Source organism: Homo sapiens, chromosome 5 (genome assembly GCF_000001405.40).
Source record: "Homo sapiens chromosome 5, GRCh38.p14 Primary Assembly".
Classification (NCBI taxonomy): Eukaryota; Metazoa; Chordata; class Mammalia; order Primates; family Hominidae; genus Homo; species Homo sapiens.
Window position 1 is genome coordinate 40,386,505 of NC_000005.10, and position 23,310 is coordinate 40,409,814.

At 38.6% G+C, this 23,310-nt stretch overlaps 1 long non-coding RNA gene across 1 annotated transcript, besides 2 other annotated features; it reads left to right on the forward strand.

Annotated features, from left to right (window-relative positions):
* Positions 1 to 2,510: 2,510 nt before the first annotated feature.
* LOC124900967 (uncharacterized) lies at positions 2,511 to 3,334 on the forward strand. Its single transcript, XR_007058744.1, has 2 exons — positions 2,511 to 2,583; positions 3,060 to 3,334. It is a non-coding gene; the product is annotated as an uncharacterized LOC124900967 (long non-coding RNA).
* Positions 18,679 to 19,878: an enhancer, noted in NCBI's record as "MED14-independent group 3 enhancer chr5:40405285-40406484 (GRCh37/hg19 assembly coordinates)". NCBI's record gives its function as "activates an origin of replication core promoter dependent on BRD2, BRD4, P300/CBP and CDK7 cofactors, and independent of MED14, by STARR-seq in HCT116 cells {active_cell/tissue: HCT116}" and the evidence as "EXISTENCE:reporter gene assay evidence [ECO:0000049][PMID:35650434]".
* Positions 20,191 to 20,250: an enhancer, noted in NCBI's record as "active region_22499". NCBI's record gives its function as "activates an Ori minimal core promoter by ATAC-STARR-seq in GM12878 lymphoblastoid cells {active_cell/tissue: GM12878}" and the evidence as "EXISTENCE:reporter gene assay evidence [ECO:0000049][PMID:35858748]".

Consider the following 23,310-nt stretch of genomic DNA (forward strand, 5'->3'; position numbering starts at 1 on the left):
GGAAACTTCTTAGAAATGCAAATTCTCAAGCCTCACCCCAGACCTACCGAATCAAAAGCTGGAGAGGGGGACAGGGCGGCAAGGATGCCAACACTCTATATTTTAACAAACTCTCAAGGTGATTATGACGCCTGCTAAACCCCATTCATCCAATACTAGTCATGAGCCACATGTGGCAATTGAGCACTCAAAATGTGGCTAGTTTGAATTGAAATATGCTGTTAGGATAAATTATATGCTAGATTTCAAGGACTTGAAAAAAGAATATAAAAATCCCTTATTAATATTTTTTATATTAAGTGCATGTGGAAATACTATCTTGGATATAGGAATTAAATTATATTATTAAGATTAGTTTCACCTGTTTCATTTTGCTTATTTTAATGTGGCTACTAAAAATTTTTTAATTACATATGCTTGTAATGGTTAGCATTATGTTTCTACTGGGCAATGTTGCACTAACCTTTGAGAATTATTGCTATAGAGCAATGGTTTTCAAGTGAGGCAATTTTGCCCCCTAGCAGACATTTGGCAATATTCGAAGACATTTTTGATTTTTACAGATGGGGTCAGGGGTTCTGTAAGTAAAGGCCAAGATGCTGCTAAACATCCTATAATGCACAGGACTGCTTGCTACAACAAAAGACTCTCCAGTCCAAAGTGTCAATAGTGTGGAAGTTAAGAAATCTGTTCTATTACACTGATTCTGCTCATTAGAAACACTTTAGGAGAGTTAAAAATACTGATGTTCTTGGTTTATCCCCAGATTAATTAAATTGGAATCTCTGGTACAGAAGCCGTGGCATCGGTTGTTCATTTTGTTTTGTTTTAAGTTCCCTGTGGATTATAAGGTGCTGCCAGGGTCAAGAACCTCTTTTTCTAGTGGAATGGACAGAGGCCCCTCATTCATTCGTCTCTGTACTGCCAACACTCATCACCTCCAGACCTGGGAACTGGCATTTCCAACAAGTGTCCAGTGATGCTGAAGCTGCTGCTCTGGTTTCCTCTGGAGAATTTTACGTCCCGTTCCACATAATGCTACACACTTCAACTCTCCAGATGGCCCAGGGAGCCTCATCAGACCTGGGCAGTTGTTCCCCACTCAGAAGACAGTCCCACCACCAACGATTCCCCTTCCAGACTCAATCAAAATGACTTCCCATTCAGCTGAGGTAGAAGCAGCTCTTTTATCAAGGGCATGGGGGCATGGTTAAAGGAGACATAAACTAAGTCCTTTCTGTTTGCACTCCAAGCAGGAAACAAATTTTTCTGTTACTGGGTCATCTTAGGGAAACCTGTTTCATTCAACTATTTAATTTTTACCAATATATAACTTAAATCACTTTAAAATAAATTTGTACAGATTACAAAATGACATAGATTAAAACAACTTCTCAGCCAGGTGCGGTGGTTCACACCTGTAATCCCAGCACTTTGGGAGGCTGAGGCAGGCAGATCACGAGATCAGGAGTTCGAGACCAGCCTGGCCAACATGATGAAACCCCGTCTCTACTAAAAATACAAAAATTAGCTGGGCATGGTGGTGGGCGCCTGTAAGCCCAGCTACTCAGGAGGCTGAGGCAGGAGAATCATTTGAACCTGTGAGGCAGAGTTTGCAGTGAGATGGCGCCATTGCACTCCAGCCTGGGCAACAGGGCTAGACTCCATCTCAAAAAAAAAAAAAAAAAAAAAAAGTTCTCCCTAAAACTAATCCCCTAAGAAAGTAGGAACTAGAGAAATTTGAACTTTAAATATTTTATGGTCCTTCCTCCTTCATAATTAACTTTTGAAAAAATATATATATACATAAATCTAAAATCGTTGGCCCTACATGATCTCTCTCTCACACACATGCGTGTGCGCACACACGCACACACACACTCTATTATCTTCATGAACACATCACCTACTTTGCTCCAGTCCAGCTGACAGCCTTAGGCCCTTCGCACTAAGTGTCTTTCCCCAACATCATCTGAATGCATAACTTCCCCACTCTTGTCTCCCCTGGTCTTTGCCCAGATGTTATCTGCTCCCTCCCATCTGGGTTCCTCTTTCTCAACCTTCTTCTCTCTGCCTGATTGGTTTTTTCATAGTACTTATTATATTTTTAAAGTACCACCTAATTTACTTATTCTGTTTATTGTTTACTGTCTTTCTCCCATGCTGGAATCCTCGCAATCTTTTTGTTCATTTACATTTCTCAAATGTCTAACAGGACACCTGGCACTCAGTAGGTCTGTAATAAAAAATTTCTGATTGAATAGGTGTTTCTAAAAATCTAAAAATCTTTCCTTTTTCTCACAACTTTATTGCATTTGTTAAATAAATTCTTTGCAAAATTGTTTTTGAAGTTCTTTTAAAGTATCTTTGCTATACACTAAGCAAGTGATTAGAATGCCTATTTGACAGCCATAGCCAAATACACTGAGAATTCAAGCAGCTTCTAGAACTCAAATGATGTCACAGTAGCTGCATTGTGGTGAGTAAGGGGAAATTACTATAGTGAAGGTCAAAGAAATACACAGAGGCCAGGCTGCTGAGGGTCTTGTGAGCCAGGGCAAGGAGTCTGAATTATGTTTTCAGGTAATCAGGAAGCTACTGGAGGTTTTAGGCAGGAGGTAGACGAAGACACTGAGCATCATAGAATATGGTTGATAAGGCCCACTGGATTGCTCTGAGGGTGGCATTGTCCATTTTTTTTTTATTCAATGTCCCTCATCTTCTGATGATGCATAATTTAGCAAGCTTGGTTGTGCTGGATAGTAGAGCACTAGCTAGAAGTGTAGGGTCAAACCAACTTTGGGGTGCTGAATTTCACCCCTGGATCCTCACTAACTAAAGTGTGGTCTGTGGGTTCATAAAACATGCAGAATCCCAGGCCCCATGCTGGACCTACCAAACTGGAATTTGCATTTTAACAAGATCTCCAGGTGATTTGGAGGCACACTAAAGATGAAGCGGCACTGTCTTAAGGCATAGAATATTGATTGAGCCCCTCACTTCTAGCTATGTAAGGACAATACTGGGGAGGGTTGGATGAGAGAATTCTTTCTTTCCAGAGTCTGGGCTACATGTTGACCCGCTCCCTATGGCAGTGACTTCTATCCTTGGCTAAGAGCATAAAAGTGTCCACGGATCAGAAAGCTTGAGAACTACTAAATTAGATCAAAGTAAAATAAAGCCTCTTGCGGGAAACAAGAAACTTTTTGAGTAGGCTTTTGGGTAAGCAGGATGGAATGTACTGACGAGAAGAAAGAAATGACAAGAAGAAAGAAGAGTCAACCTGCTTCTAAAACAAATAAACACACCATGAGAAGGAATGTCAGGGTCTAAATTTGGATCTCAATGTCCTCTTCATTGTGACGTTTTCTTTGTCATACATAACTGACTTGCTAAAACCAGGCACTCTCCCCCACTTAGGGCCCTGCTGTTCTCTCTGCCCCAAATGCTCTTCTACCAGGTAGCCATATAATTAATTCCCTTTCCTCCTTCAAGATTTTTATCAAGATTTACCATCCCAATGATGCCCACCTGAACACTCAACTGAAAATTATAATCCACCTCACTGCATTCACCACATTCCCAACTCCCTTCACCTAGCTTTGCTTTTCTTTTTCCATATTACTCACAACATGCTAAACTTCCATATAACTTATTTATTTATTATGTCTACTGATACTGTACTCTCTCCTGGCTAAAATAGAAGCTCCATGAGGAAAGGCTTTTTATTTGTTCTCTGATCTATCCCAAGCATCTACTCCAGAGCAATGCCTGATACATTGTACATCCACAATAAATATTTTTTAATTGAAGAAGAGAGTTTTGCAGATAGAGGCAGTGGAGCTTAAGAGATCAAAGTCGGCTGTTAGACTCAGGCCGAACCTGAATTTGAATTCTGGTTCAGGCAATTATCAGGCTCATGATCTTTGGCAAGTTATTAAGCTCTCTAGACCTCAATTTCCTCACATGTAAAAATCTGCTTCACAGTGTTGTGGTAAGAATAAATAAGATAATATCTGAACACCGCATATCACCTGGCACTTAGTAATTGGTCATACACTATGGTTGTCACATCATTATTAGCTACTTTATCTTTTATGCTCCCAGGAGTTTGTGTCCAACTGCTTCCTGATTGGATTAAAGGCAACAGGCAGCCCCAGGTTCTCTTTGGCTACATAAAGACTAGCTCAATTTTCCACTGCTCAAGAAGATAATATTGTTCCAAACTCAAGGATATGAATAAAACACATTTACCTCACAGCATGTCTGTGCCAAAAACATTGTGAGAGGTCATTTAGTTGAAACTTTATATTACTTTAACAGGTGAGGAAGGCCTGAGGCCGAGAGATTTTCTAAAAGTCACATCGCTTGTTAGTGTAGAGTAGAACCTGAAATCCAGGCTTTTAGATTCCCAGGCCAGCTCAATTTTCCATTACTCAAGAAGAAAATATTGTCCCAAACTCAGGGATATGAATAAAACACATTTACTTCACAGCACGTCTGTGCTAAAAGCATTGTGAGAGGTCATGTAGTTGAAACTTTATATTACTTTAACAGGTAAGGAAGGACTGAGGCAAAGAGATTAAAAGTCCCACCACTTGTTAGTGTAGAGTAGAACCTGAAATCCAGGCTTTTAGATTCCCAGGCCAACATTCTTTCCACTTCATTCAGCATGGAAACTGTTGTAAAAAGTTCCAAAGTTTTCACCCTATACAAGGTTAGCATAGAGAAGTAGAAGATAATTGAGATCATGTCTGGGAATGACCCAGGGTGCCTCTCTTGCACTCAGTAGCCCCTGCCAAAACATGCCCATCATCGTTGTAATTCATAATTAATGATCTGCACATGAATAAACATTAGACAAACCCTGCCTATAACCTGCAAGAACACTAAAGTCCTTTATACGGTCATATAGAAGATCCTAATCAAGCACAGATAAGTCCATCAAGGAATTGCTGCAGCAATTTTTCAACCCTAGGATAGTAATTTTAAATACCTTAGGCTATACCTATAATTGCATATTTGGATTGAGATTTATTAACCCATGTAGTAAACTATTTTGGCTGACTTTTTTTCCCAGAATATTGTTTAAAAGTGTCAGAAAAGTAAAATCTGTGGGATTTAGATATATGTAAGTAATTATAAAGTTGGTTCTTCCACTTGTACAGCCAAATGACCAAATAACATACAGTAAAAGAGAAGCTGTATAAAAATTCAAATATGCAAGATATAACAGACCAGTCTGTGATTAAGCAAACCTAAATTACTAAAAATAAAACAAAACAAGGAAGCAAACAAAACAGTTGTTATGGAAATATGTTTGAATCATTGAAAGCAAATTAAAGATCCCTCCTATTTGCCAAACATTACACTCAGACTCCACTGCACAGTACAAGCCTGTGCAAATCAACATCACAAAACAATACATGGAATGCAGTACCATAGTAGACCTCCAAGACATAGCAAAACAGTGGATAATATGAAAGTCCCCATGGGTAGTTGATTATGAAGTTCTTTACCTGAAGAATCTAATCTTCTAATCCATTTTAAGCTCATTCTTTTTTTCATAAATATTTATTAAGCATCTCCCACGTAGGGTTTGAAACATCAGGAATTCAAAGATAGATAATGTTTTTATATATTCCAAACCCAGTTTAGAACTTAGGGAAGAAAGTCTAGACAGAGTTTGTTCTCAAAGCGATGGGTAGATTAGGAAATGAAAATAAAAACATCCATGTTTAGCTGGGGCAGATGTCCCACAGCCCTCACTGTCAGGCAAAGGCTAAATATATAATTATACGGGGCTGATTTGGAAGGCAAATAAACAAACAGGAAATGTAAGCATTGTTTTAAAAGACTAAATCTAAGTTTCAGGGATTGAATAGGAAATACAAGCAGTAATTTCCTTGTGGCTAGGCAGGAAATATATAATCAAGGAAAGTCAAGCTTCTGCCTAGAACAAATGACAAGTAGGTAGAATGTGAGGAAATAGATAAATGCCAGCCTGAGTCTGAAGTGTATTAGAGCTTCCACTGAGGAAGCCAGCCATGGCATTATCACAGATGAGCACTCTTCTGCATAGGGATCAGGACATCTCTGATATAAGACAGGTTTATTCCCATCACATTTCTTACCCCAGTAGACAGTACCCAGAGAGACCCAACACAGAAATATGCAACAGATCAGGCAGGACATGGCAAAATGCCTAATAATAGAATAACAGAAAGTTATTGGGGTCATTCTAGCCATCTGAGAATCAAATGAGTAAACATTACCTATGTGTTTAGCTCTGGAATAGTGAAGGAATAGGGAGTGTTTGACAATGCAACTTACCTTCTCTAGCTGCAAATGAAAGATTCTAGAAGTTTTGGGGAGGATTTTAAGGTCCTGAACTCCCAGGTGCCAGTTCCTAAATAATGGTAGTCAACTATTTCTTAATCCCACAAACACAATTAGACCAGCTCACTCCCATTTATCTGCTTGTAAGTTTCTGCAGATGGTCTCCCTAAGACAACATCAAGCATTGCAGTAGGAGCACAAACTGAAATTGGACAGCCTGGGTCAGAATCAGGCCCAACCCTACTGGTTGTGTGATCTTAGAAGAGTTAACATAGCTAAGCCTCAATTTCTTCGTGTTTTAAAGGGGGAAGTTAGTAGAAAACTAACAGAGATTACCGTGAGGCTTGAAAAAAGTTATCACATGTTTAAAGTTCAGTTACCTTCATCATCATTAGTGTACAGTGTCCTCGGCAATGTTGAGTGTGGTGCCAGTGGCCATCAGGATGCAGTCAGTGTGGCATTTTTAATATTTTGTTGTCATTCTTACTGGTATCCTTGCTAAATGCATTCAAATATTGACTAATATGTACTATTTAGCTCATCCACACCAGACGGCCCCGAGTGGTCCTTCAGGGTCTCTCCATATATCCTTATCCCCCCTGAACTAATACCTAGAAGGATTGTGCCTCTGTATTCTCCATGAGTTAGGCTCTCAGTAAATTAGTTCCCATTTCAGACTTCATTTGATATCCAAGGAAGGCAGATTCCATGACTGAATCCTCAATTTCAACATCATTCAGTAGGGATTGGACAGTGGGTGTCCTCAGGGCATTACCCTGTTCAGCCAGGCTAGGGGCAAAGTTCCAGGAGCAGTGATGGCTTCTAGACCCAAGGGATCCTGGGGGTCATCGTTGTATGGTTTCCTTCTATACATATCCGTACCTAGACAACATACTATTCTCCTTAACATTCCTTTATGTGTGCTCACAATGTGCACATTATGTTCAATGTACAATAATTAATTGGATCTTCAAATTATCAAGACAAAGATAGCTTGATAATTTGAAAATTTACTTTGAAAAAGTAAAAGCAACCAAAAAGGTACTTCAAGTAAGAGCAAAACATTGAGGAGCAGAAACATCTTTCCTGTCCTTGGGTCCTTTTTTTAACAGAATGTTTCATCTGTTCAGCCCTTAATCTCAATACAACATGATCTTGAAATCTTATACCAAGTTTAGATACAAATTCCAGAGCCATTACTGAAACTTGAATTGCCGATGCTTAGAATGTAGAATTAGAAAATGTCAAAGTCCGGGTCCCTCTAAATCAAGACTGTGTAGCATTATAAAAACATGGTGAAATTGTCCCAACTGTCTCTCTATCCTGAGGCACTCTCTTCAGTTCGTCTTATGCAGAGAGCTGAAGGACAATTTGATGGTTTATGAATCTATCCTATTTCTTCCACACACACCAAGCAACTGTACTTTATACTTCTAGGCCTAATGATGATGGAAATTGCTGTAAGGACATCATGCCTAAAAGAGGATTGACTTGAAGCAAACACTTTACAAATGTGTATCTTTTAAGAGTTGCCACGGTAAGAATTAAAATAAAGCACATATGTGTCTCCTAAAACATAATAAAGCATACATTTGTATTACTAGTGTATATTTGCTATTATAATAAGACAAATACTCTTATGAGGCAAAGACTGATTGAAGTATATCAGTTCCAAATGGAGACAGATGTGTTTTCCTTCAGCCATTTCTTTTTTTTAAAAAAAAAACGCATATTTCAAACATTTATGTGCTCTTTCATTAACAGCAGTATGAATTCAATTTTCCAGACATTCTCATTATGTGTTGGTAAGATTACCATTTTCATTTTGTCTGTGAATAACTGAAGACCAAGGAGAACAGATAGCTGTTTGGGTAAGACAACCAGATAACGTGGAAAGCAAAGCTACTCTCCAAAGCAGCTGGAAAAGCTCATTAAAATAATCTGAGAGAAGGCCAACTCACTATGCTGGTGGTTGTCAAAACCTGCAGCGTATAAAAATCACCTAGGAGTCTTGTAAAAACTACAGATTCCCAGGACCCCACTTTCTTGAGATTCCGATTTAGGAGCCTGAGGAATAAGGCGCAGAAATGTGCACTTATGACAAGCATTGCAGGAATATGATTGATATATGATTAAAGGGTTGGAAATAAAGCCTTCAGGGAAAAGCCAAAGAATGTGAGTTATTTAGACAAAAGAAAGATTGGATTTCATTTTCTTAAAGTACTGTATATATAGATTACAGATGAAGATATATAGATAATAAAGAAACAATTCTATATTTCCACCAGACATGACAACTTAGAATTGCAACATTTACATAAGGCACTATTTACATAATAACACTACGTTATTTGGCTAATTATAATAGGGAATGGGAGTTACAGATTTTCATCTGGAAAGATGACGAGAACGAAGTACCAAGAGTTCTTTCCACGTTTTTTAAGAGCAGGGCTCTCTAGAAAACGGGAGACAAGGAGTTTACCTGGACAGTGGTATCATCTGACTCTGCTATTATTATTTTATGAAAGAAAAAGGCATCTTTCCAAGGACTCCTGATGTTATTGTAAAACTGCTCTCACATGTTGGACACATGACTGCAACACTGCTTGCAGCTGTTCGTCCTGCTCTTGCCAATCATTATTTATGCCTGTGAAGAGTTGAATAAGATGCAAAAGAGTCAGTGTCAAATTAGTCCTGAAGAAACTGTATTTCTTTTGCCTTGATGCTATGTAGTGGGGAAAAGCTGGCTTTTAAGTATATTCTTGATGTTCTTAAACCCAGGATAAGGAAGATACACAATCTTATACCTCTGCTTCCAGGAAACACATGCAGCCCAAGCAAGTTCCAAAAAAAAAAAAAAAAAAAAAAAACCGTAACAATATCTTCAATGTGAGTAAACCCCATTTCACATACAATAGCATGACTGTTGTGAAAGAATAACAATAACTTTGGAAGGAGGAATAAAAATATGCTCATTTTCCTCTAATTGCCATATAGAAATTTTTGTAAAAATGACATTAATTTCCAACGTGTCTTATTAGTAGAGGGTTTCTCAACCTTGGCACCACTGACATTCTAGGCCAGATAATTGCTTTGGGGGCTGTTCTGTGCATTTTCAGATGTTTAGCAGCATCTTTAGCCGCTACAAACTGTATGACAAAAGCATCCCCATCCTCCTTGTGATGATCAAAAATGCCTCCAGACATTGTCCATGAGGGCAAAATGACCACTGGTTAGAATAATAGTCCATGGTGGTAATCACATAACCTGCTTTTACCTGACTGAAGTAGCCCAGTATAGACTGGAATTTACCCATTCCTGGAATGCCCTAATTAGTACCATATTGCTTTCCCTATACTGTTGTTTAAACATAGCAATACTCAGACAAAGAAAGGCAAGCTGTTAGTAGTTGTCATAAAGAGGGTACACACAAGCAGGAGAAGACCACTACAATCACAATCTACCACAGAAACCTCAGAGTGAAAACACACTGGGATTGATTCAAAGTGCTTCCTAGTATCCATAACTTATCCATAACCAAGGGTGACCAAAGAAGGGGACTGGAGCCATGGCTCTACCACTACCTATCCCTTATTTGGCATGATCCTCTTATGTACCCAGGTCTGAATGTACATAAAGATATGGTGTAAACAGTGTTTGTTTTGATTGTCCCCTTGGTGACTTGATGTTCTCAAGTCATGGGCTTTGGAGTCACACTAACAGAAGTTCATATTCTAGTTATGCCACTAACTGGTTCTGCGATCTTTAATAAGTTATTTAACCTCTTCAAGTCTCAGTTCCTTTATCTAGAAGGTGAGAATAATAAATCAAGCCCATAAGGTATGGTGACAATAAAGAAAGTATGTAAAACACAGGCATAACATAAGCACCCAATGAAAACAAATTTTTCATTGTTTTTGCTGTTGCTTTTGCTGCTATGGTAATCATTGGCATTATTATCATTATACCAATTGATGTTAAGTTTCTTAAACCCCAGTGAGTTCAGGAATTTCAAGGCAAGGACTACTGCCCCAGCCCATTCCTCTTTTTCTCTTTCATATTTAGGAAATCCCTACATCCTTCTAACTTAGATGAGTGATTTCATAGAAAAATGTTATCATCTTGGTCACTAACCAAGCCACCACCACCAATTTTATGAATATCTTTAAAAGAATGCCCTCCATGACTTAATTTGAAGCCCTAATCCTCATGATGGAAATTTTGGCATTTCAGCAGATTTGCGGTCCTAGAATTTGGAGGTTAGGAGGATCTTTCAGTGGTCCTCCATTCACATTAGCTTGTAAGATGTCACCTAAGAGTAAGAAGAATCAGCTCTTCTAGCATCTTAGTGCTGGGTGAAGAGAGGATAAAGACAATTGAGACAGAGAATTTGGCTAGTGACAACACGTGATTACAAATTTCCACTTTCAATCCCCCTTTCATCCTTCCACCCTTGACACTTGCCAGAGAAATTGCATACTTCCCACAGCCTGAAAAGCCATGTTCCTCTTCCCTCCCTAGGGAAATCTTACCCATTCTTCAAAGATGAACTCAAAAGTAGTTTTCTGTGAAGCCTTCCCTGCTAAACCCAAGTTGAGGGTAATCGCTCACAGAACTTTAGAACTGGACAAAATCTCTGTATTTTTATAGTTAGGGTCCATGTTTTGGAGGTATGATTAAAGAGATTTTAGTAGGAAAAAGGACTGACTGATTCCAGCTGTTGGTATTCTATTTGGAATTATGATTGTTATTTTTAATGCTTTTAAATTGCACTAGATTCTAAGTTGTTGGGGTGGAATCCCTGTTGTACTCAATATTGTCTGTCCATAGCATCTAAAACAGTGCATGAACCGTAGTTCATACTTAATAAATACCAGTTGAATGAATTAACCCTATATTATTAACCAAGCAGGTTTAATAGACACTATTTGCTGCTTCTTATCAATGTCAGCTTAATTGTTCCTCCTGAGTATCCATGGATATCTACCAGCCACATTGATCATGTTAAAGGTCATGAGGAGCAGTTTTACAAAAATCATGTATTACTTAAGTTTTTTTGGTTTTCTTACTATTATTCACTCCAACACAAGAATTTTAAAAAATTGAAATAGAATAATAATAAAAATCAACACGAGTAGTGCTATCTAAACCAAGTGATTTGGTGTACATTTTCTCATTTAATCTTCAGAGCAACTTGTAGTTAACATAATTATTCCCAGTCTACAGAAGGTTAAGCTGAGGATGCTTTGCTCATAATCACATGGCCAAGCAGAGACCATGTTTCTCAGCGCCAACCACATGTCTTTCTTACTTCATTGTTAGATTCACTGTGACTAGGGAGTACATAATCTCTCAAACCCATCCACACTCATTGAAGTCTATGGAAAACAAACTGGAGACAAAAACACCCATAGGCAACAATGAGTTGACTCTTTCTGTGGTTAGTTTTTCTCTGTATTTTTTCAAATCTATTCATTCTTCCTGACTACAGCATCATTTGCCATAGTCTTCTCCTAAGTCAATGTCATACTTCCTCTCAACCACTTGAGAGATTGCAGATCTTTGTCATTCAACATCATTTAATTTCCTGAATAAAGAAACAAAAAAAATGGAAGAGGTTTAGGTATACATCTAGAGTTGATTTTAATTTCCTGTTTGCCCTTGTAATTATGGTTTTTCTTCTTTGCTTTTGAAAACTATAATGAGTGTTTGAAGTATTACAATTACTTTCGATTGCAAAAACTGCAATTACTTTTGCACCGGCCTAATATATGTTCTATGTGGTCTTTCTCATCTTTAAAAGAGCAAGCAATTGATTATAACACAATGGTGTCAACAGCCATTGGATATCTACCAATTATCCAATAGGACAATTTATCTAATGAATTACCTTTTAGGTTACCTATATGCTTAAATTTGGTTACAACACACTTTTACACTGGTATATGTAAGATAGAAGAACATACAGCTCAAATCTCGAGTTCTCTTGCTGCCAATATTGATGGAGTTTATGAAAAATTAAAATGATGAAGCATACTTCAGGTGTTCATTTCCAAATGCAATGCATTTTCTATTTTTTCCATTTTAAAAATAATATGCACCCATTGTAAAAAGAAACTTCATCATTATCATCGTTAAATAAACAGAGGCAATTTCCTTCATAACCTCTTCTGTTCCACCTTCACCTCCAAGTCAACTCCCACTCCAGTGGTATTATGTTAATAATTTGTGTGTTTGCGTGTTTGTGTGTGTGTGTGTGTGTGTATACACGTGTTTCCAGGAAGAGACAGAAAAAATGCAGATATATAGAAAGCATGATACACATTTTTAATTTGATTATCTTTGCTTACTAATATATCATAAACGTCTCTCTTACCAGTATAATACAAATTGACCTCATGCTTTTTAATAGCTTCATAGTGTTTTATGGAATGCTTATACTACAAATTTGCTAAATCATTCCCCTACTAGTGATATTTTGACATACATTGACAGATATTTTTAATTTTTTTTATTGTGTGACAATCCACAGAGGACATCTTCATGTTTACATCTTTGTGCTCATTTGGGCATTACTACTAAAGAAAGTCTTAGACAAAGAATTCCTGATTCAAAGTGTATGCATTTTTAAAATGCAAGTCATGAGCTTTAGAGTCACACTGACAGTTCATATTACTTTCTTACTTCATAAGCCTGTTCAATTACCCTCCAAAGGGCTATGAAAATTTCTGCTTTCCACACAATGTATGAGTCGCCTTATTTCTTTACACCCTCACAGTGTGGATATCATCAACTGGCTTCACTTGAATTCCCCTGAAAGCAGGTCCTGAGACAAAAATGTGAAGGCAATACAGATGGTCACTGACTTCCAATGATTCCACTTATACTTTTTCAACTTTACAATGGTGCACAAACTATAGACATTCAGTAGAAAACAGTGTGATTCTCTCACATGATGCTGGGCCATGCAGTAAGCTGCAGCTCTCACTCAGCCACACAAAGGTAAAAATACCAGTACTGTACAGTACATTGTGTTGCCAGATGATTTTGCCCAACTATAGGCCAATGTAAGTGTTCCAAGCATGTTTAAGGTGGGCTAAGCTAAAGTATGATGTTTGGTAGGTTAGGTATATTAAATGCATTTTTGACTTAGTCATATTTTCAACTTACAATGGTTTATCAGGACATAACCCCATTGTAAATGGGGGAGCATCTGTAGTTTATTTTGAAGTTAATTCCAGGAATCACTATGAGGTTGCAAGGAGTAAGACAAGAAGTGGGGAACAAATAGACAGAACATTGACTAGCCAGTTACCTCTATTCGTAGTGTGGTCAACTATCACAGTTTGCATGGAATCAATGGGGTGTCCCAGGACACAGAATTTCCAATGCTAAAATTGGGACAGTTCTAGAAAAGCAGAGATAAGTTGGTTACCCTACTGTATGGGCAATTGGGCTCAATTATTCTGGAGACCCATGGAAAGGCCATATGGAACACAACTTAGGATTGTTCCAACAAAAGGCAAAGATGTGAAGTATTTATTCACCAGCCCTTAGTAGTTTGGAGGTACTCCAAGGCATTCTGGCTCAGTTACTTCCCATCTGACCTGTGCAGGGACAAAGCATGCTCCTGTGTCCAAAGATAGCCCACTGGAGGAAAGGTGCAGGAATTTGTTGTCATGTCTGAGAAATGTCTGCAGACAAACTCTGGGATCGGCCAAAAGGATGTGGGGGTGGGAGTGCCAATACCATCTATGCATGATTATTTGTCCCTAGTCTGATCAGCAAAATGATGCTATCTCAATATTGTTCTCATTTACATTCTCTAATGAGTGGGAATTTTGGACATAACTTCATATTTGCATCCCTTTTTGAGACTCAAGTTTTCAAGCATTTAAATACAGTTTTAGGGTAGGTTATTTTCTTGGCCTGGGACAACCAACTTCCATAATAGAAAAAAAATTTCAATCAGTTTACCTAAAATATGTGTGTATTGGAATGGAATGGGATGGGATAGGGGAGCAGGGTAAACTCTTCCAGGTGAATTAAAGGTGAGAATTAATGATTTAATTATAGTATTTTCAAGGCCACAATCCTTGTTAGACTTTCCTTTACCTTATTTTTAAAAAACTGTACATATGTATGGGGTAAGTATATACATATGTGTCATTATACATATTTATCATGTACATATTATCATATATTGTATACATATACATATCATTATATATTGTACAGTTTTATGTACAGTTTTTTAAAAAGGTACGTATGTATGGGGTACAATGTATAGTGATCAAGTCAGGGTAGTTAGTATATCCATCACCTCAAATACTTATCATTTCTTTGTGTTGGGAATATTTCAAGTCTTCTCCTCCAGGTATTTTGAAATATACAATAAATTATTGTTAACTATAGTCACCCTACAGTGCTGAAGCGGAATTGAGCTCCTTAAGTTTTGTACATCATGTTTTTTTAGGTTCCCACTGAGCTGATTTTTGGCCATGATTCACACATATCTCTCCTCCAAGGCTCCTCTCACAAAGCATTTCCTCCCAGTCACGTTTTCAAATAGCTTCTCATTCCCTGTATGCCTGTGTGTGCATGGCCTCATCTCACTTTCGCTGTGACCATTGCTGCTCATTTCTATTTCCTTCAAGCCTCATTTACTGCTGCCTAATTTGCCTTCTAGCTCAGAGGAAAGCAGAGATGTTTAATGGAGCTCTCAGAATCATCATTACTGAAACTTGACACAGTCAAATCCCTTGTGTCCCTTAATACGCATAATATTGCTTAGCCTAAAAGCCACAGTCTGGGAGACTCACTGTATCATAATGAGAACATTCAGAAGATAACTAAATCATAAATTTAAACTTCAGATTCTATCACTTCATTGATTAAGCTCTCAGACATTTCCCCAACTACCTAAGACCTGTCATTATTAATCTTACCTGTTTTATTAATTCCATTTCACTGTGTTTCTTAACACATATGTTACAGCCTCCCACCAAGTCTATCCTCCAATCATGATTACAAACTGGCAGTACCTTAGAATGATGATCTTTTGATAGTTTTATTACCGAGCAGAAAGCAATCTGTATAGTTTCTGTCTCACAAATTAATTGCTTAGACTTTTCCTGCTAAGCTTCCACCTCAGAACTTGTCCCCATTTCAAAGAGTAAACCAACCCTCATTTTACAAAGATAGCAACTAAAATTCCAAGACATTAAATGACTTGCCTGAGGCTACACAACTCATGGCCACAGACAGAACTCTTCCTCCTAGGCTACTTGTGTTATGTCAGGGTGATTCATCTTCTCTATGCTTCTCTGAAAAAAACAGAATCTGTCAAGCAGTCATCTCCCCATCCCCCCACCTGCCTCAGACCCTGTGCTTCAGTTCTGTTCTCTACCACGACTCTACCCTACCCTTCAATCACTTCACTTCAGAGAAGCTAAGACCCCTTCAGAGCATTAGCATGTCCACAGGCATGGCATGAACTCCAGTCTTCTCCAGATACTTGGGCACTCACAGTGTCCTATCTGGATAGTCATTCACCTCTTTGTGAATAATGCATCTGCCTGAACAACTTAAATTCAAGGCCCCTGAGTGCATATATATTTATAGAATTCCTTGCACTCACCATTGTGCCTAAATGCCTATCGCAATTCATATGGTAGATATTTCACAAGTATTTAATGAGGATGATAATTATAACAATGTCATGGGAAGAATCAATTTTTAAAATTGTGTTGTGGAAAAAATATACACACATATATAATATACATATATAATACACATATACATATAGCTGTATATATATACATATATGTATATGTACATATACATATATAATACACATATACATATAGCTGTAGTTTTCTATTCTTAAGAATAAAATTAATCATATTGGGCTTGAAAGAATGGTAAGAGATAATGGCTTACCAACATAGTGCTGCCTGTACAGAGACCAGACCGGATTTCACAAGGGTGTGTATTTGTAAGAAGGTAAGGAACTTGTTTCTTTTTTTGTCTTGCTTTTGTTTTTGTGTTGCTGTTTATTAGAGCAACTGAATTACAAACCTGAAGAGATGAATTTAGGTTTAGAAAGCTGACAATTTTAGTAGACCCCTGATGTAAAATGCCTTTTTCAGTATACTTCCCCAGAGACGGCAAAGATCCTGGACCTAAAGTCAAATTCTGCAACATTAGGCAACTGATGAATCCCAAAGGTGATTGCCTGGTTGATGGGTGATGGTCAAAGGAGTATCAGACACAGGAGACCACTTCTGTGGGTCAATGAACAATAAGGCCAGGAAAAGGCAACTCACATGTGTAATCTTGCCACAGTTTTGGTAAGTAAGATGTTAGGAGTTTGAAATTCAGCCTACATCTCTGCCTTAAGGTATATGTGGAGATCTTTAAAGTGAGTGGTGAAGAAAGGGTTAAGAAATAGGATTTAATGGGGAATAGATTAAAAAAAATGAGAAGGAGTCTTAGCTAAACAAAAGAAGAAAGCGGGTTTTATTTTTGTTTTTGTTTTTGTTTTTTAATTTTCTGGGTGTTTAAAGGTAAGCAATGGTTTTTCATTTCTACCAGACTAAGACAGATTGCAATTGCCTTAGAGCAGTTGGGAATTTTGTAGGCAAAGGAGAAACCATATTAGGAAAAAAGAATATATCGCTAAGCTGACAAGATACTGTAAATACCCAAAACTAGGACTTATACAAGCCGAGGGGGTTAAGCTGCCCCTTGATAGACTGGTACAATGAGAAAAAACAAAGTTCGCATGTCTGATTATGCACGAATTTCCTGAGTGAAAATCTTAGCTTGGATTTGTAACCCAAGTCTTTTAATGCATTGAGGAAAGATTAACAGTAAGAGCCTAATATGGTTTGGATCTGTGTCCTCACCCACATCTCATGTCGAATTCTCCAGTGCTGGAAGAGGGGCCTGGTGGGATGTGATTGGATCATGGGAACAGACTTCCCCTTGCTGTTCTCATGACAGTGAGTTCGTTCTTACAAGATCTGCTTCTTGTTGTTGTTGTTGTTGTTGTTGTTGTTGTTGTTGTTTTTGAGATGGAGTCTCGCATTTTCCCCTGGGCTGGAGTGCAATGGTGTGATCTTGGCTCACTGCAACCTCTGCCTCCTGGGTTCAGGTGATTCTCCTGCCTCAGTCTCCTGAGTAGCTGGGATTACAGGTGCCTGCCGCCATGCCCGGCTAATTTTTTGTATTTTTAGTAAAGACTGGGTTTCTCTATGTTGGCCAGGCTGGTCTTGAACTCCTGACCTCGTGATCCACCCACCTCCGCCTCCCAAAGTGCTGGGATTACAGGCATGAGCCACCGTGCCCAGCCACAACATCTGCTTGTTTAATAGTGTGTCGCACCTCCCACTTCGCTCTCTTCCTGCTACTTTGGCCATATAAGACATGCCTCCTTCCTCTTCACCTTCCACCATGACCATAATTTTACTGAGGCCTCCCCAGCCATGCTTCAATTAAACCTCTTTTCTTTATAAATGACCCAGTCTCAGGTAGTTATTTATATTGCAATCTTTGCCATTATTTTCAATTACTTTTGCACCAACCTAAATAGCAGTGTGAGAATAGACTAATACACAGCCCAGTGTTTCAAAGGACCCTGAATAAGTGGCCTCTGAAGATAACTGCTTTTAACAATACATTGAGGGTAACTCATTCAGCATTTCTGAAGCCATCAGAGTGTCTTTCAATCAGAGGCAAGGCATTTAGGCCTTTCAGGCTTAAAATTACCAGTTTGAAATTAGCCAACAAAAATTAATAAATGCAATGAACTATGCCCAACTACAGAATATAAACAGAAAGATACTGGCACAAGACATTAAACCACTCATACTCATTCTATCTTTTCAGATGCAAAGAGCTAGAAAGAATCAGAGGACTAGGAAATGCCACAGAAACCTCCATTGATCACATGGTTCTGTCATATGAAAGAGAAAGCAAAATAGAAAACTTCACATTTATGAAGATTAGGAAACACATGTATACATACATATAGTTCATGAGGCAGTGTAAAATGAGGAAATCTATTTTTTCTACTTGGATAGAACTGGTAGAGTTTGGCACAATTCCACTTTAAAAAATAAAGTATTCAGTATTCCTTGTGTAAGGTGTTGCCAGAAGAAGAAATTTGCTGAGAAAAAAATTCATCCTTTCTTTGCAAGGAAGATCTTAGGACAGTGGCATCAACATGAGGCACTGCATTGACAATGCTTTTGCATTCTGCTTTGATTTCTTTTTGGAAGTTGGTAGAGGTAAATCACAATTTATTTTTAATAATATGAAACTGTGAAAGTTAAGTATGGATAATGACAAGGAAAAGTATTTAATTCTGTCTTTATACCTGGACTTGAAAAAGAACAGTAACCATTCTAGCCATTTAATGGAATTTCTAAACCATATTATCCTTCCCCAGAAATGGACATCAAGTTCTATGGATCAAAAAGCTGTAGCTGACCTTAGACTCCAAAAAGAACCCAGTAGGCTGGACTTAAGCATGCTGGAGGATGTTCACATTCTTAAGTCAGGGTTATCGTAAGTTATTTCCTGCATTTCATCATAACTGGTCACATGTGGCCACTTGTCAGATCTGGGACAAGCATTTCCAAAAGCAAATAAAAGTGTGTATTTTTTTCATCTTTCTAAACAGCTCTGAGTTCAGATCCTGTCAAGGTTACCTTCCTATGATTCGTGAAGATGTCATCCTAAAATATAAAAGGAAAGTACATTGGTAAAAAGTCAACCTTTGAATTTTGTGCTTGGAGTCTTTAGGAGTCACTGATTAGACTACAAACACCCTTGTCAGCTCTATTCTTTTAGGTCTCATCAGGACTTTCTTGGCCACCAGCACACAGCAAAGCTCGGAGGGACCGGGACCCATGTTTAGTACCAAGGTGGTAGGTTGCGATGACGGCAAGTAGACACCACAAGAAGCTGAAAGGGAATTCAGGGTAATATAACCTCTTTGGAATTTCAAGAGAATGAAGAACAAAATTTGTCTTTTCAGAGGGCTGAGATTTAAAAACCACCCTGTCAATGACTCCTGAAAAACCAAGAGAAGTTTGGATAAAACTCCTAGTGATTAGTTCCCCAACTGCTTATACCAGGTAAGAAATGATAGCTCTTCAGAGCTCCCTTTCCATATCTAAAGAACTTGAATTGTTCTTTGAGGCAATTTGAGGCCACTGTCCCAGTGGAAAGCTTATTTTCAAATTGTGTAGCGTGCTACTATATCAGACTCTGAAACACTGCATGTGCTAAAGTAAGTCAGAGATGCCTAGTCAGATTAGGAAAAAAATATTGTAGGCAGGCAACCAGACAAATTTGGCAAGAAAGGATGTCAGGGGGATTTCCAAAGTCTCCTAACTGAGGGACAATCGTAGTGACTATGAATAATTCAGAGTGAGTTAACGAAGAGGATCCACCAATTTCAGAAACTATATAATATTTTTGAAGAAAAAGAGAGTTTAAGGACTATGAAAACACATGTCAAGAAATATTATTCTTCTTTTAATTGTTTTCAACAAGAAGGTCCCCCTTAAATATCAATTCTGCCATGAAGAAAAATAAAGGAAAAGCTGTTTCATAGAAAAGCTCTCCTCCTGGCAAGATCTTACCACAGATGTTTTTCAGATCTTTAAAGATGGATTATTAATGGTTTAGCTCTCCACTACATTATAAAGCATTTTTCAAAGGTTTGTTCTATCTCTGTTTACACTATCTGATAATAATAAAGCAGAGTTCGTTTTTAGCCAATGAAAATGACTCTTCACAAGGCTGTACATTTGTTTGAACCCAGACAAGCCACAAAAAGTACAAACTCTTCTGCATGTTCAAAGTTCTCGAAACACACATGCCTAACACCACCAACAACAAAGACAGGAACCGCGGACCAGTTCTCCAGTCCCAGCCTCAATTTTTTGAGTAACTGCTTCACCATGTAGAGACCTTGCTCTGATCCATCTCTGCATCAGAGAGAAAAGAAAGAAAAGAAAAACGTACACTCCTATTTTCATCACTAAGACAGGCCCTTTCCTTTCTCTGTGTGAAAACATTAAGAGTTTATGGTTGCCTGGAGAAAATTTACAATCTGGCCCCACAACCTCATGTGACTTTTTATAGAACAAGGAAGTACGGGAGCCTATATGCAACAGTGACAATGTGCTGTGGCCGCTCAGTGTTGGCCACAACAGCTTCAGTTACTGAAAACTCTGACCAACAGGGGAAATGTACAAGGAGGCTATCAGGCATTAGCTGTGGGAGAAGAAAACAAGTTCCCCTCGGGGCACAAAGAGAAAGCAACTGTTATGGCAGGTCAAGGCCTAGAGCTGAAAGAAAAGGAAATACAATTACAAAACCAGATGCAAGGCAGCAGAAGGGTCTGGATTTCTCTTTCAGCTGGTGAATCTACATATGGCTATAACCTTGCTGACCTCTCTGGTCATCAAACCACAGCAGAAGGAGTGCCCCAGATGATGAAGAAATATTATAGTGTTTGGAACACCTTACCTGTCCATAAAATGTTGATGTATTTAAATATCTATATCCTGTGTGCTTATCATTTGTGTTCTTCTTGTGTGTTACAAGTGACTAGATTTTCTCCAAAAAATTCTATAAACCAGGCCCTAAACTGACATTATCTTAGCTTGTGTTTTCTTTAGCTATTTCTACACAGTGAAAGACAGGGCTGATTCTTCTTTCCAATGAATGAAAAAAATAAATTAGGCCAGGTGTGGTGGCTCACACCTGTAATCCCAGCAGTTTGGGAGGCTAAGAAGGGCAGACTGTTTGAGCCCAGGAGTTCAAAACCAGCCTGGGCAACAGGGTGGAACCCCACTCTACAAAAAATAGAAAAATTAGTTGAGCATGGTGGCAGGTACCTGTAGTCCCAGCTACTCGGGAGACTGAGGTGGGAGGATCACTTGAGCCCAGGAGGCCAAGGCTGCAGTGAGCCATGATTGTACCACTGTACTCTGGCCTAGGTGACAGAGTGAGACCTTGCCTCAAAGAAAAAAAAAAGTATATCTTCCAAATGATATTATGTAAGATGTCCTTAAGTATAGTATATAGGAATGTAGTTTAGAACTTCTCTCCCGGAGAGCTGGGGTTCAGGGTGGGCCTGCAGGCCTCCTAGCTTCTCTTTTAAGTATTTTAGGAGGTGAAGTAGACTGTTTTGGGGAAGAATCACTTTCTGAAAAAGGTACCCAGTGTCCTTTGGCTATTCCCTCATAACCCTGCCCAGTCTGAGCTGGTCCTCTCTTTGTCTAGACACCTGACAATTCCAGGGCTCAGAAATGAGAACATAAAAGACAGTTTAAGAAAGATAATATGTTAGAAGGACAAAGGAGGCTGTCCTACATAACGGAAATAAGTGAAGTTAAAAATCAAACTAGAAGCGCCCTATGGCAGATTAAAGATGGCCACAAATTCTTTAACACTCTTCCTTTTGAGAGATGGGGTCTATTTCCCCTCCTTTTGAATCTGAGCTTGCTTGTAACTGCTTTGATGCATGCAGTGTGGCCGAAATGACACTCTGCCCTCTGGGCGTTAACTCTAAGAGAACTGGCAGTCTCCACCTTGGTCTCTGGGAGCTTTGAGCCGCCACAGCTCTGACTGCCTTGCTCAAGAGATCATACGGAGAGGCCCTGAGACTATATGGAGAAGGGGCCAGCTGAGCCCCCTTTCCCACCATCCCCATCAAGGCAGCAGGCACAGAACCCTCCAGAGCAGCCTGGGCACCGGCTGAATACTTCTCCAGTAATGCCAGTGAAACCGTGTGGAGCAGAAGAATCCCCAGCTAAGCCCTGCCTGAATTCCTAATCCACAAAAGTATGTCATATAAATAAATAATTTATTAAAATGGTTATTATTTTAAATCACTGGGTTTGGGGTAACTTGCATGCAGTAATAGATAACCAGTACACAGCCTCTGAGTAGAGTACATAATTTTTAGAATAAAATCTCCAATTGTGGAAAGTGTGATAAATTCCAAATTTTTGTGGTCAGTTAAAAAGAAGATTACATTCTAGGTGTGTATGTTCCACAACATGTATACAGAGAAGAGAAAAGCTAAGGAGAAAAGACATGAATCTCTTGCCTGCTGGCAAAGCTTCCCCAAACAGATATTCTTCCAAAGGCTGCATAGAAGCTGGATCATTGTAAATCTCTCCAACAAATATCTACTGAGTAACTGCTACAAGTACATCACTGTGTTAACCACTAAGGTTTTAATAATGATAAAAATATAATTTCTGCCCTGGGAAATTTTTCTCTCTTGTGTACCATTAGCAAATTAATATGTAAATTTTAAAATTGGTTTAAATCAGAGGTTGACAAACTTTTTCTGTAAAGAGCCAGAGAGTGAATGTTTCAGCTTTGTAGGCCAACTCTGCCAGTGTAGTGCAAAAACAACATTTTAGACAATACATAAACAAATGAAAGCAATGGAATCCCAATAAAACTTTATTTGTGGATGCCAAAATTGGAATTTCACATGATTTTCATGTGTCTTGAAATATTATTCTTCTTTTAATTGTTTTCAACAATTTGAAAATATAAAATTGGTCTTTAATACACAGGCTGTACAAGAGGCAGTGGGCTGAATTTGATCCTCAGGTATAGTTTGCCAACCTCTTTTTAAAATTCTTATCAGATGGGCCTAAAGCAGGTAGAACTTGCAAAAAGTTAAAGAGCATTATCAGACGAATTTAATGTTCTGGATTGTCATGGATACAAATAACCTGCCTTCTATTTCCAGTATTCTCCATGCATAAGGAAGGGCATGAACTTATAGCCTGCAAGAGCAGCTTAGAGTTTTACCAGGGAGGAGCTCTGGGAAGCATCAAGACCCCAGAGGAGGGGAGGACTCAGCCCAAGGAAGGAGAGAAGGAACCATAGAGATGAGTGGGAGGGCACGTCTGCAAAGGCAGCCGG